Here is a 14,743-nt window from a genome sequence, read left to right as displayed (position 1 = left end):
CATGGGCTCTGCTATGTCCTCCAAAATTCATATGTTGAACCTTAATTTCCAGTGCAATAGTATTAAAAGATGAGGCTGCTAGGAGGTGATTAGGGCATGAGGGTGGAGCCCTCATGAATGGGATTAGTGCCCTTTTAAGAGAGGTTTGAGGGAGCCTTTTTGCCCTTCTACCATGTAAGGACACAACTAGAACTAGAAGGTGCCATCTTGGAAGCAGAGAGTCACCCCTCACCAGACACCAAGTCTGTTGGCACCTTGATCCTGGACTTTTCAGAACTGTGAGCAATAAATTTCTATTATTGATAAATGACTCAGTCTAATGTATTTTGTTATCACAGCCTGAACTAAGACAGGCTCTGAAACCAGATTAAGCCCGTGTTCACAACTCAAATCTGCCCCCTTTCTAACTATGCAATTTCAGATCCCTCAGGTCCCATTTGAGAGCTTGTTTCACCCTCGTCAAGAGTCTGTGTCAGTTGCCTGACAAAGCTTGAGAGGCCTGACTCCTTTTGTCTGCCAGCATTCTGCTGAGCCAGGCTCTTGCCCCTCTGGTCTCTTGCTTCTGTCCTACAAGTACGTCCTGATTTACAAAGCAAAAGGCATCATTCTTTGCTTTGGAAGCTTTTCCCATGATTTCCCCCCAGAATTTCTCTGAACATCCCCCTTCCCCAGTCCCACCTCCTTTGTTCTCTCTGGGCCCTTTGCACTGTCATCCATATGCTCTGGGCCCCTCAGCTCCAATGGGTAGTGCCAGTAGAGCCCTCACACACTCAGCAAGCCCCACCTCAGCCAAACCTGGGGCTCCTAGGCTTGATAAGTCTGTGGTAGGATGTTGAGGGGAGGCACCCCCATGTTCCCATGGCCCCTGTGTCCTCTGGAAGTGAGCTGGCCCCTCGCTAGGGCTCTCTTTCTTGTCCTGCATTTTCTCTGTTTTCCCGCTTTTAATGCAGTTGGCTGTCATTCGTGCTTCCCAGGCAGGGCACTCCCCTTCGGAGACAGATAACACAGGGCTTAAGAACATAGATGTTTTAGTCTGGCAGGCCTAGATTCTGTTCCCAGATCTGTCACTTTCTACCTTGGAGACTTTGGGCATGCGGTTTGGCTTTTCTAACTCTCACTTTACCCACCTGCAAAATGGGGTCCATGTTCGTAGCACCCTTCGAAGGATCTGTGAAGATTCAATGGATTGTGCACAATGCCTGCTTGTCATATAGCAAGCGCTTGACTGATGGCAACTGCCTGTTTAGAAAAGCATTTTCTGAAATGCCAGGTGGATTGTGGATACTCAGTACATATTCGTTGAATTGAGGCTTGATTCTGAGCAAAAGTTAAGTTGCAGCTGCCTTCGGTCAGAGATCTTTGCAGAGACCTTTGTAGGGCCCCACAGTTTGCCTTCTTTGTCTGTTCCATGACATGGCCACCTGCCCCCCACCCCCCATCACCTGCTTCCCCACTGAAGGTTCAGCAGGAGTTGCTGAAAGGGCCTTGTGGCCAGGGTGAAAAGAGCAGGTTATACTGAGGGCTAGGTTCCTGGGGTGCTTGTGGCATCAGTGGTATTGAATGCAGGCTGGGAGAGCCCTAGGGAGTGAGTGGGGTCTAAGAGCATAGGACTAGCCTGGTTGAAGGCAAAAAGCAAGGCTCTAAAACGAGGCTGACTTGGGCTCAGGTCCTAGTGCTGCTATTTATTGGCTGGGTGACCACAAGCCATTCTCCTGTCTGTGAAGTGGGGATGATAGTGCCTGCCCTGTTCACCACACAGGCTGGGGGTAGGAATGCAGTGAGACAGCAAAAATGTGTGGGAACGTCGGAGTGTGGGACCCAGGTGCTGAGTCTGGTCAAATTGGATCTCTGAACATGTTTTACAGAAGGCAACAGGGTAAATAAGACAGCATGGACCTGGGCTCAAATCCTGGCTCTGTACCTTGGTGGTGGTGTATCCCTGGGCAAGTCGCTAAACTTCTCTGTGTCTCTGTCTCCACATTTGTAGAACAGGGATAGTACTATAGTACCTACCCCACTGCTGTGAGAGGGCAATGTAATGATGCATAAAGCACAGCTAGCCTGTAGGAGATGGCCAGGCCCACCTAGAGAGTCCCACAGGCAAAGCTGGGAGGTGCCAAGGCAGGCATAAATGGTGAGTAGTTAACTGTTGCTAACCATCAAACACTGCCAGAATCCCTTTTCCTTGCCAGGTCCTGAGCTTGGTGCTGAGGACGCCTGGAGGAATCACAGAGCCCATCTGGAAACAGCCCATCTCCTGGCTGGGTTGGATCAGCCTCTGGTAGGTCTCGTGCCCTGGCAGCTATCTCAGGCCTGTCTCCCCTTCCCAGGGGGCCTTAGCCTAGCCTTTTGCATCCTAGAGCCCACCATGTGGCCCACTATGCTCACGCAGCTCCAGGAGAAAATTCTCCTCTGCCACCCCCAGAACATGGTTCCTCCGTCCCTGGCTCAAACCCTGAATCTTGCTTGGAACAAATGCAATGAGAGTGTCCAGCACTGAGAAGGCCTTTAAGACCCATTGCCCCCCTGTTCTGGATGCCCAGGGCATAGGGCCCCTGCCCTCATGGAGATCGTGCTTTAGTGGGGGAGACAGAAGAGCTCAAATAGAGGTACATGCTGTGAAGGAGCTATTTTCACAGAAGAAGCTAAGGCTATTTTCAATCAGGTGGTGAGGAATTCTTCCCATTGGACACTTGGGGAGACAGAGGAACAGACTGACCCAAGGTCATCCAGCAAGGTTCTGGGAGAAATCAGGACAAGATGGGCACGGCAGCTCTCACGCCTGTAATCTCAGTACTTTGGGCGGCCAAGGCGGGCGGATCATTTGAGTTGGAGACCAGCCTGGGCAACATGGCAAAACTCCATATCTACAAAAAAATACAAAAATGTTCCAGGTGTGGTGGCATGCACCTGTAGTCCCAGCTACTTGGGAGGCTGAAGTGGGAGGATAGCTTGAACCCAGTAGGTCGAGGCTGCAGTGAGCCACGATCTCACCACTGCATTCTAGCCTGGGTGACAGAGTGAAACTCTGTCTCAAAAGAACCACCCCCCCGAAAACAAACAACCAAACAAACAAACAAAAAAGAAAAAGCGAGAGGCAGATCCCAGAGGTCTACAGCCCTGTGCACTGAGCTGTCTCCAGGGGCTCCTCAAATTGTCTCATTCACCTTGTCCTGTTTGTACCCACACCTCCACATGGCCCCGTGGCATCTCAGCTCTTCCCTCTCTTGGGCAGCAGAGGCTTCTGGGATGACCTAAAGGTTTAGGTCATCCTGGAGTCGACCCAGGGCTCCCTTGGGTTCCTGTGCTGTTGCAGGGAGGAGGCTTGGGGCCCTGGGCAGTGGGAGTGTGTTGGGGGCCGGGAACTTGCACGGGCAAATGGTGTCTGTGAAAACATTGGCTGCTGACAGCTCCAGCCAACAAGGCCCCCACAGTCCAGATGTGGCCTCACCCACCTCCCTCCTGCAACAGCAGATTTACAAAGAACCACACAGCCCATCTCAGAGAAACAAGATTGCAGGGTTGGAAGGGGCAGGAAGGACCACCCAGTCCAAGCCATGGGAAGCTAATGGCTCTGTCCTCTGCCTTAAAGGTTGTTTGAACAGCAGGGGTCACTCCTGGGCTGAGAGTGTCCTGGGAAAGGTGAGGCCTTGGCTTTCCTAGTCAAATGTTCCAGGTTTCCTACCCAGAAACGAGAACTGAATCCAGGGGTGGAACCCATGGCCTGACTCTCCCAGCTCTCCCAGGAGGGAGTGGGCTCCTTGCTCCTGCAGGTGTGTGGGCAAGGACTGCACTCCCAGAGCAGACCAGAGGCATGCTGTATAGGGCATTCTGGCATTTGATAGGGGTGGAACCTGAGGCCTTCTTTCTGATTCCTGCCAAATCCACCACCCTAGGCCCCAAAGCCTGCTGGCTCTCCTTGCTTCGAGATGCAGGGCACTCCAGTCCACCCCCACCTCCAGCAGCAGGACAGTCTGGAACCTGCTTCCTCCAACCTCCCCTTAACTAAGTGGGCCCAGCCCTAGGTCTTGATGGGAGCATTCTCTCCCCCATCCCCCACCAACACTTCTCCTAATGCATCCTCTCTGGCCCGGCTGAGAACTGCAGACGGCACTGTGACATGAGGGGAGATAAGGGGGCTCTCACATTTCCCCCGGCTGGGCTCCTGGGCCGCCAGCATTCACGCTGGCTGATTTCAACATGAAAGGGCCCCTTGAGAAGGAGAGCCCCCTCCCTTTCCCCCTTCCCTCTGCTAAGCCCCACTCCGCAGCTAACCACTGTCTGAGCCGCCCTCTTTCTGGAGCAGCCGCTCGCCTGCCTGCTAAGCCTTCCCCCAACTGCTTCAGCCTCACCTCGGCCACCTCCATCCTCTAGGATGGGAATCCCCAGCTCTCCTGCTATACACACACACACACACACACACACACACACACACACACACACACAGGGCTGCTTCCCCACCCCCTCCCCCCACCAGTGCTATATTAGAGAGAAGAAACAGGGAGTGGGGATTGCAGTCTCAGCCGGTGACACAAGGTTGGGGGGGTGGGGGTGGTCTGGAGATACAGGGGAGTTGACCAACCACAGGCCACTACGTTGAACAAATCTTTGTGGGAGACTGCCCAGAAGAGAGGAGGTCTCCCAGCCCCAAATGCAGAGAGAGGCACCAGGATGTTTGAGGACCCAAGGGCTAAACACCCAGGCTCTTTTCCTTAACTGCCTGAGACAAGCACCCTTCAAAAATCCACTGAAACATCTCATGTTTCTGCCACCAGAGGCCTTCCAGGTATCTGCCCTAAATCTTTTACATTGCAACTTTTAAAACCTTTTATTTTGAACTAATTTTAGACTTATAGAAATATTGCAAAAAATAGAACAGATTGCTTTCGTACACCCCTCACCTAGTTTCCTAATATTAATATCTTACATAACTATGGTACAGTGATCAAAACCAAGAAATTAACATTGGTTCAGTACTATTATCTGAACTACAGATCTTATTGGAATTCCCTATTTTCCCCCGTCACATCTTATTTTCCGTTCCAGGATCCTGTCCTGAATCCCACATTGCGTTTAGTTGTTACTTCTCCTTAGTATTTTCCAATCTATGACAGTTCCTCAGTCTTTTGTCATCTTTCATGATCTTCATACTTTTGAAGAGTGCTAGTCAGGTATTTTATAGACAGTCCCTTGATTGAGGTTTGCTTGATATTTTCTCATGACCTGAGGGAGGCTATAATTTTTGGCAAGAATACCACAGAAATGGTGTTGGGTCCATCTCAGCACACCACAGCAAGAGGCTCATAATGTCCATGTGTCTTATGACTAGTGGTGTTTACCTTGATCACTTGGTTAAGCTGATGTGTGCAGGGTTTATCCACTATAAAGTTACTATAGTTCCCTTTTTAGTTGATAAATATCTTGGGACTATGCAAGTCCTGTTTCTCCTCAAACGTTCACCCACAATTTGTAGCATTCATCAGTGGATCCACCATTATTGTAGTGGTGCTTTCCTGACAATTATCTATTTTCCTCTTTCTTTCTATGCATATTGATTGCAATTTTACTGTAAGGGAAAGTTCCCCCTTCTCCCCTGTTTATTCAGTTTTTTTAACTTTTATTTTAGTTTTATGGGTACATGTGCAGGTTTGCTATATAGGTAAATTGTGTGTTATGGGGGTTTGGTGCACAGATTATTTTATCACCCATGTGTAAGCATAGGTAGTTTCTCAACTCTTACCCTCCTCCCACCCTCCACCCTTAAGTTGATATTTATTTTATTCTATGGGTTAAAATCCAGTATTATCTCCCCCCTCAAGGGGGTAAAGTATAATTCTCCATTCTGTAAATATGGGCTGGGCATAGTGACTTCCTTCCAAAGAGTACAGAAGAGGGAAAAAAGTAACATGGAGAAACCTGACAAACACTGCCTCAGTCAGATGATCAAAGTTAACATTATCAGTTAACAGCCTGTACCATTGATGAGATGTGTCGAGTAGGGCATTTCACCTCTGTGATATTCCTCCTGGGACCCATTCCCCATTTTTTTTAAATTTATTATCATACTTTAAGATTTAGGGTACATGTGCACAATGTGCAGGTTAGTTACATATGTATACACGTGCCATGCTGGTGCGCTGCACCCACTAACTCGTCATCTAGCATTAGGTATATCTCCCAGTGCTATCCCTCCGCCCTCCCCCCACCCCACAACAGTCCCCAGAGTGTGATGTTCCCCTTTCTGTGTCCATGTGTTCTCATTGTTCAATTCCCACCTATGAGTGAGAATATGCAGTGTTTGGTTTTTTGTTCTTGCGATAGTTTACTGAGAATGATGATTTCCAATTTCATCCATGTCCCTACAAAGGACATGAACTCATCATTTTTTATGGCTGCATAGTATTCCATGGTGTATATGTGCCACATTTTCTTAATCTAGTCTATCATTGTTGGACATTTGGGTTGGTTCCAAGTCTTTGCTATTGTGAATAGTGCCACAATAAACATACGTGTGCATGTGTCTTTATAGCAGCATGATTTATAGTCCTTTGGATATATACCCAGTGATGGGATGGCTGGGTCAAATGGTATTTCCAGTTCTAGATCCCTGAGGAATCGCCACACTGACTTCCACAATGGTTGAACTAGTTTACAGTCCCACCAACAGTGTAAAAGTGTTCCTATTTCTCCACATCCTCTCCAGCACCTGTTGTTTCCTGACTTTTTAATGATTGCCATTCTAACTGGTGTGAGATGATATCTCATTGTGGTGTTGATTTGCATTTCTCTGATGGCCAGTGATGATGAGCATTTTTTCATGTGTTTTTTGGCTTCATAAATGTCTTCTTTTGAGAAGTGTCTGTTCATGTCCTTTGCCCACTTTTTGATGGGGTTGTTTGTTTTTTTCTTGTAAATTTGTTTGCTTCAAAGAGAATAAAATACCTAGGAATCCAACTTACAAGGGATGTGAAGGACCTCTTCAAGGAGAACTACAAACCACTGCTCAATGAAATAAAAGAGGATACAAACAAATGGAAGAACATTCCATGCTCATGGGTAGGAAGAATCAATATCATGAAAACGGCCATACTGCCCAAGGTAATTTGTAGATTCAATGCCATCCCCATCAAGCTACCAATGACTTTCTTCACAGAATTGGAAAAAACTACTTTAAAGTTCATATGGGACCAAAAAAGAGCCCGCATTGCCAAGTCAATCCTAAGCCAAAAGAACAAAGCTGGAGGCATCACACTACCTGACTTCAAACTATACTACAAGGCTACAGTAACCAAAACAGCATGGTACTGGTACCAAAACAGATATAGATCAATGGAACAGAACAGAGCCCTCAGAAATAATGCCGTATATCTACAACTATCTGATCTTTGACAAACCTGACAAAAACAAGCAATGGGGAAAGGATTCCCTATTTAGTAAATGGTGCTGGGAAAACTGGCTAGCCATATGTAGAAAGCTGAAACTGGATCCCTTCCTTACATCTTATACAAAAATCAATTCAAGATGGATTAAAGACTTAAACATTAGACCTAAAACCATAAAAACCCTAGAAGAAAACCTAGGCATTACCATTCAGGACATAGGCATGGGCAAGGACTTCATGTCTAAAACACCAAAAGCAATGGCAACAAAAGCCAAAATTGACAAATGGGATCTAATTAAACTAAAGAGCTTCTGCACAGCAAAAGAAACTACCATCAGAGTGAACAGGCAACCCACAAAATGGGAGAAAATCTTCACAACCTACTCATCTGACAAAGGGCTAATATCCAGAATCTACAACGAACCATTCCCCATTTTAACCATGAGAAAAAAAATCATGATTTTTCAAATTCAAATTGAGGAACATTCTACAAAGTACCAGACCAATACTCCTTAAAACTGTCAAAGTCATCAAAAGCAAGAAAAGTCTGAGAAATTGTTGCAAGAAAGAGGAGCCTAAGGAGAGGTGATGAGTAAATGTAATGTTATATATCCTGGATGGGATTTTGGAACAGGTAATGGTCATTAAGTAAAAACTAAGGAAATGTGAATCAATTATGGACTTCAGTTAATAACAATGTATCAATATTGGCTCATTAGTTGTACAAGTGTACCATACTAATGTGAGATGTTAATAGGCGAAACCGGATGTGGAATATATGGGAACTCTTAATGTTTTATTTGTACCTTTTCCGTAAATCAAAAACCGCTCTAAAATAAAAATGAATTATTAAAAATCCAATACTATATTTATTTTCTGCTCAAATTGTTCCTACTTTGGCTATTAGGACATCCTGCAGGTTGGCTCCTGTGCTCCTTAGACAAGCTCCCATTTTTTTTCATTTTATTTTATTTTATTTTATTTTGTGAGCACTTCCTTATTTTCTGGCACCACGAGATGGTCCAGGCTTATCTTGGATTTTCCCTGCCCTAACCCTGACCCAGCCATTTCTCCAAGGAGCCCTGGTTCCTTTTATTGGAGGAGATGGTATTAGAAGAAACCAAGATGTGGGCACTAGATGCAGTCATTGCTACTAGGATGTCATTGCTTCTAGGCTCTCTCAGCTGACATAGCTAGGAAATATATGCGTGTATACCAACTCATTTTGCTGCAATTAAAAAAATGTTATTTACTTTTGTTCTGCCCTCAAGAGATAAACTTCACTTACTGTAACTGCCTCATGATATTCCTTAGCAAGGATGAAAAAAATCTTATTAAATTAGTCCCTTATTGGTGGCTATTTATATACTGTATTATACATTACATTTTCTTTTATATTATCAAAATCCTGAAATCCCTGTACATATCCACATGCCAAGTACTTCTCTAGGGCAGACACTGAGATGTGAAACTGCTGTGCCAAAAGGTCTGGGCATCTGAAGTGTTGATGAACCATCCACCATTCAAATTTGCTCATGTGCCATCAGGGCTCACCCTTCCCCATCTTCCATCTTCCATCTCCTAGCGTACCACTCAGTCCAAATGAACTACTTACCATTTCCTCTCATGCTTCCAGGTCTCTGCCTATGCTGTTCCTTCTATACGGGATGTCCTTGCTGTCTTAGCAGCATGATGAACTTCTATTCACTCTTCAACGCCCATGGCAAAGGGCACCACCTGTGTGGCCACCCAGGCAGGCAACTGGTGACTCCTTCTTCAGTACTTCCACAATGACCTCTCTAATCACACCCCAGAAGTTTGGGGAGGTAGCTGTCTCCCTCACTATCTTCTCTGTGAACTTTACACTGAGCTAGCTTGAGCCAGACACAGGGGAGGCCCCTGGAAGTGTCTACTAAATGAATGAGTGAGCTTCCCATTGGCTCCAGACAACACATGTCCTGTGAGGTTCCTTTTTGGGCCTTAACTAAGAGTCTGGTCTGACATCAAAAATTTTTTTTTTTTTACATGAATGTTCATAGCAGCTTTATTTTTTTATTTTTATTTTTTATTATACTTTAAGTTCCAGGGTACATGTGCACAACGTGCAGATTTGTTACATAGGTATACATGTGCCATGTTGATTTGCCGCACCCATTAACTCATCATTTAAATTAGGTATTTCTCCTAATGCTATCCCTCCCTCTGCCCCCCACCCCATGACAGGCCCCGGGGTGTGATATTCCCTGCCCTGTGTCCAAGTGTTCTCATTGTTCAATTCCCACCTATGAGTGAGAACATGCGGTGTTTGGTTTTCTGTCCTTGTGATAGTTTGCTCAGAATGATGGTTTCCAGCTGCATCCATGTCCCTACAAAGAACATGAACTCATCCTTTTTTATGGCTGCATAGTATTCCATGGTGTATATGTGCCACATTGTCTTAATCCAGTCTATCATTGATGGACATTTGGGTTGGTTCCAAGTCTTTTGCTATTGTAAATAGTGCCACAATAAACATTCGTGTGCATGTGTCTTTATAGAAGCATGATTTATAATATTTTGGGTATATACCCAGTAATGGGATGGCTGGGTCAAATGGTATTTCTAGTTCTAGATCCTTGAGGAATCACCACACTGTCTTCCACAATAGTTGAACTAGTTTACATTCCCACCAACAGTGTAAAAGTGTTCCTAGTTCTCCACATCCTCTCCAGCATCTGTTGTTTTCTGACTTTTTAATGATTGCCATTATAACTGGTGAGAGATGGTATCTTATTGTGGTTTTGATTTGCATTTCTCTGATGGCCAGTGATGATGAGCATTTTTTCATATATCTGTTGGCTGCATAAATGTCTTCTTTTGAGAAGTGTCTCCTCATATCCTTTGCCTACTTTTTGATGGGGTTGTTTGCTTTTTTCTTGTAAATTTGTTTAAGTTCTTTGTAGATTCTGGATATTAGCCCTTTGTCAGATCGGTAGATTGTAAAAATTTTCTCCCATTCTGTAGGTTGCCTGTTCACTCTGATGGTAGTTTCTTTTGCTGTGCAGAAGCTCTTTAGTTTAATTAGATCCCATTTGTCAATTTTGGCTTTTGTTGCCATTGCTTTTGGTGTTTTAGTCATGAAGTTCTTGCCCATGCCTATTTCCTGAATGGTATTGCCTAGGTTTTCTTCTAGGGTTTTTATGGTTTTAGGTCTTACATTTAAGTCTTTAATCCATCTTAAATTAATTTTTGTATAAGGTGTAAGAAAGGGATCCAGTTTCAGCTTTCTACATATGGCTAGCCAGTTTTCCCAGCACCATTTATTAAATAGAGAATCCTTTCTCTATTGCTTGTTTTTGTCAGGTTTGTCAAAGATCAAATGGTTGTAGATGTGTGGTGTTATTTCTGAGGGCTCTGTTCTGTTCCATTGGTCTATATATCTGTTTTGGTACCAGTACCATGCTGTTTTGGTTACTGTAGCCTTGTAGTATAGTTTGAAGTCAGGTAGTGTGATGCCTCCAGCTTTGTTCTTTTTGCTTAGGATTGTCTTGGCTATGTGGGCTCTTTTTTGGTCCCATATGAACTTTAAAGTAGTTTTTTCCAATTCTGTGAAGAAAGTCATTGGTAGCTTGATGGGGATGGCATTGAATCTACAAATTACCTTGGGCAGTATGGCCATTTTCATGATATTGATTCTTCCTGTCCATGAACATGGAATGTTCTTCCGTTTGTTTGTGTCCTCTTTTATTTCGTTGAGCAGTGGTTTGTAGTTCTCCTTGAAGAGGTCCTTCACATCCCTTGTAAGTTGGATTCCTAGGTATTTTATTCTCTTTGTAGCAATTGTGAATGGGAGTTCACTCATGATTTGGCTCTCTGTTCATCTATTATTGGTGTATAGGATTGCTTGTGATTTTTGCACATTGATTTTGAATCCTGAGACTTTGCGGAAGTTGCTTATCAGCTTAAGGAGATTATGGGCTGAGACGACGGGGTTTTCTAAATATACAATCATGTCATCTGCAAACACATGACCTATAGGGCTCCTTTTTGGGCCTTAACTAAGAATCTGGTCTGACACAAAAAATGTTTAAAAAGTTCACATTTCAAGCTCCCATTCCCTCCCACACCCCATTCCTGTGTGTACACACACAAACAGACATACATACACACACATCCTCCCAAGTCTGCGTAGGGTGTGTGAGTATGTGTAAGGGTGGATGTGAGAGTATCTGTGTAAGAAACAGAGAAGAAAGAGTAGAGGGAGAAAGAGAAGAGAAGAGAGAGGAAGTGAGAGAAAGGAAAAAAGAGAGAGAGAGAGAAAGAAGAGAGTGTCAGGAGTGAGAATTTCCCAGGTTTCCGAGGGGCTGATTAATCCGTTTAAATGGAGGTGTGTTAGCAACTGGCATCTGTTAATGTGCCTTTACATCTGTCACTGAGCAGGACAGAGCTGAGGGGCTGCAGCTCTGAAGAAAGAAAAATATTTGCTGGCAATAAATGTGAATGCCAAGCAAACTCCTCCAGGAAAGTTAAAGCCACTGTGTTCTTAACCACTCCCCTGTCCCCTGTCCCAGGCCTCCATAGTATAGCACTTGGAGTCATCCAGCCAGGTCCCCAATTGTCCAAAGCAGAAACCTGGGAGCCATCTCTCCATTTCTCTCACCCTCACCTCTGCATCCATGCAATTACAACAAAGTGAGTCTACCTCTTCAATATCTCCCGAGTCTCTCTGCTTGTCTTCAGCTCCACTGCTGCCAAAGTCAGTTGCCCATTATCTCTCACTGCTACTAGTCCAACAGCCTCTACATTGGGCCCCCTGCTTTTGATTCTGTCTCTTCTAACCCAGAAGACACCAGGGATTGGAAAAGTCATTCTATAAAGCAAATCTGATCTTGTCATACCCCTGTTTGAAACTATGTGGCCCATTGGCTAAAGTTCACACTATATTTAAGGGAGTGTTCACAGTTCAGAAGCAGGTCAGCATATAGTAAGTCCCTGTATGCTAAGCACTGGGACCGAAAGAGGAACCAACAAAATTTCAGCCTTTGGAGGGTGCCTGCTACAGCTTTCAGGCCAGCTAGCATGCTTTCGTTCAACAGGCAGCACTAGCCACTCCCTCCCTGTGGTACCACAGGTCATGATAGAGACCTCGACCACTATTTGAACAATTAGACTACAGGTTTTGTTAGTATCCTACTCTTCTCTGTAGCTCATGGCCTAACACAGGGCCTGGTATATAGCAGAGGTCTTGATTCATATCAATAGATTGAATGAATGGAGGATAGATGAATAGATGGGTGGATATATGCATGAATGGGTGGATGGATGGAAAATGGATGGATAGATGGATGAGTGGGTGGATGGATGGATGAATTGGTGGATTGATGGACTGAGGAGCAGGTAGATGGACAGATGAATAGGTTGAATGAGTGAAACAAGATATAGCAGTATAGATTGAGATTACTACATTAGAGAATACTGGAAGAGGAAACAGACTTAAGCTTGTCCAAAGTCACACTTCTGACAGGAACCCCAAGAATCAGGGGTGACTTTCGTCTCCATTTTACAAACAGATGAGCAAACAGTGGTTCATAGATGTGAAGTGACTTGCTTGAGGTCCCATAGTAATCAGTGAGACAGAGATTGAAGGCCTAGGCCTGCTTGGCTCCAAAGCTCATGTTCTTTCCATAATCTGACATCAAAAATAGCATGGGGCTCCCCATATGTCAGCTTAGGCGATGGAGGTTGAATATGAATTTTATGTCTGATGGACCTAAATTTAAGTCTAACTTTTTAACATTTGCAATCCTTCATTCATTTAAAAAATATTTCCAGAGTGCCCATTGTGTGTGTGTGTGTGTGTGTGTGTGTGTGTGTGTGTATGTGTGTGTGTGTGTGTTTGTGTGTGATTATAAAAGGTCAGACAGATCTGGAATCTTTGCTCTATCACTGCAAACATTATGACCTCTCCATTCTCCACTTTCCTCGTCTATAAAATGCAGATAATAGCAACACCTAGTTCACAGGCTTGCCGTAGGTATTAAATGAGCATATGGCTATAAAACACTTATCATGCACTGCCACACAAACACTAACCCTGAGCGCCTGTCCTGGAACCAGGCACTGAGATGCAGGGCGGAGCCAAGTCTGTGTGGCCCCTGCCTTTGCCCTCAGGAAGCTGAGTGAAGGGGACAAAAGTTGCAGAAAGCAACATATCACCCATGGTATGTGATGTGAAGGGAAAAAACAAAACCCAGGAGCTATAGGAGAAAACTCAGAATGATGAACCTAACTTTGATGGGGTGGTGGTATAGGGTATGATCTTTCTGAGAAGACGATGTTTCAGCTGCGACCTGAAGAATGACAAACAGCCAACCTTGCAGAGTAGAGAAAGAACATTCCAGGTGGGGAAAACAGCAAATGCAAAGGCCCTGAAGTGGGAATGAGATTGTGAATTCCTGGGACAGCAGAACAGGCTGGAGCCAAGTGGGGGATGGGGATGAGGTGGGAAAAGTCACTGGAAAGGCAGATGGAGCCAGCTCATGTGGACCCTGGACTTTTTTCTAAGTATCATGAGAAGCCACAGGAGGATTAAATCAGGAAAGTGACAGGACCTGATTTACATTTCAAAAGGACCCCTCTGGCTGCTGGGTGGAGAGTAAATTGTAGGGGGCTGGGCTAGAGCAAGAAGTCCCTGTGTGGAGGCCATTGCTGGGGTGGTGACCACAGAAGTGGAGACTGTGGAGACATTCGTAGCACATGAGGTATTCCTTGCCTCCTTTCTTTCTTCATCACTCCACATTCCATCTGTCTCAAATCCTCTGCCCTATCATCTGGTCCCCTCTCACCACCTCCACTGTCTCTACCCTGAGGATTACCCTTCTACCCTGCCTGCCACAGCCTATTCTCTGCACTTCAAGGATGCAAGCCGGAGGGGTCTGGTGAAACCCAAGTAACAGCCCTCCAATGGCTCCTCATCTCTCTAAAAGTAAAGCCAAAGTCATCAAGGTGGCCACAAGGTCCTCCAAGATGTTGTCTCTCATTACCTTCTGCTCTCACGTCCCGTTCCTCCTCTCTGCTCACTCCAGTGCTGGCCTCCTTGTATCTCTCCAAGCATTTCCCACACACAACCAACTCGGGTGTTTTGCGTGGACTGTTTTGTCCACTTAGAATGGTCTTCTAGATATCTTCATGGTTCGCCTCCTTCCCTCCTTCAGAGCTTTCTCAAATTTCTCTTTCTCAGTGTGACCTACCTGGGCACCTGCAACCTCCCCTCACACACCCTGACCCTCTTTCCTCCTGCTTTTTTCTTACCCCACAGCACGTATCACCATCAACCATATGAAATGTTTATTTCTCTTGTTTACTTTTTGCCTCCTCACTAGA

At 45.1% G+C, this 14,743-nt stretch overlaps 1 long non-coding RNA gene across 1 annotated transcript in view, besides 1 other annotated feature; it reads left to right on the top strand.

The window, feature by feature from the left end:
* Positions 1 to 14,743, top strand: part of LOC105373242 (uncharacterized) — a 53,390-nt gene that overhangs the window by 20,023 nt on the left and 18,624 nt on the right. Inside the window, exon 5 of the long non-coding RNA XR_001755876.1 lies at positions 2,193 to 2,281. This is a non-coding gene — a long non-coding RNA (uncharacterized LOC105373242). The remainder of the gene's footprint in view (positions 1 to 2,192; positions 2,282 to 14,743) is intronic.
* Positions 2,835 to 3,736: an enhancer, noted in NCBI's record as "H3K4me1 hESC enhancer chrX:68280594-68281495 (GRCh37/hg19 assembly coordinates)". NCBI's record gives its function as "activates a minimal SCP1, AML or CMV promoter by ChIP-STARR-seq in naive H9 embryonic stem cells {active_cell/tissue: H9 hESC(naive)}" and the evidence as "EXISTENCE:reporter gene assay evidence [ECO:0000049][PMID:30033119]".

Source organism: Homo sapiens, chromosome X (assembly GCF_000001405.40).
Source record: "Homo sapiens chromosome X, GRCh38.p14 Primary Assembly".
NCBI classification, from domain to species: domain Eukaryota; kingdom Metazoa; phylum Chordata; class Mammalia; order Primates; family Hominidae; genus Homo; species Homo sapiens.
The sequence above is the reverse complement of the archived record's forward strand: the minus strand, read 5'-3'. Positions and strand labels throughout refer to the sequence as shown.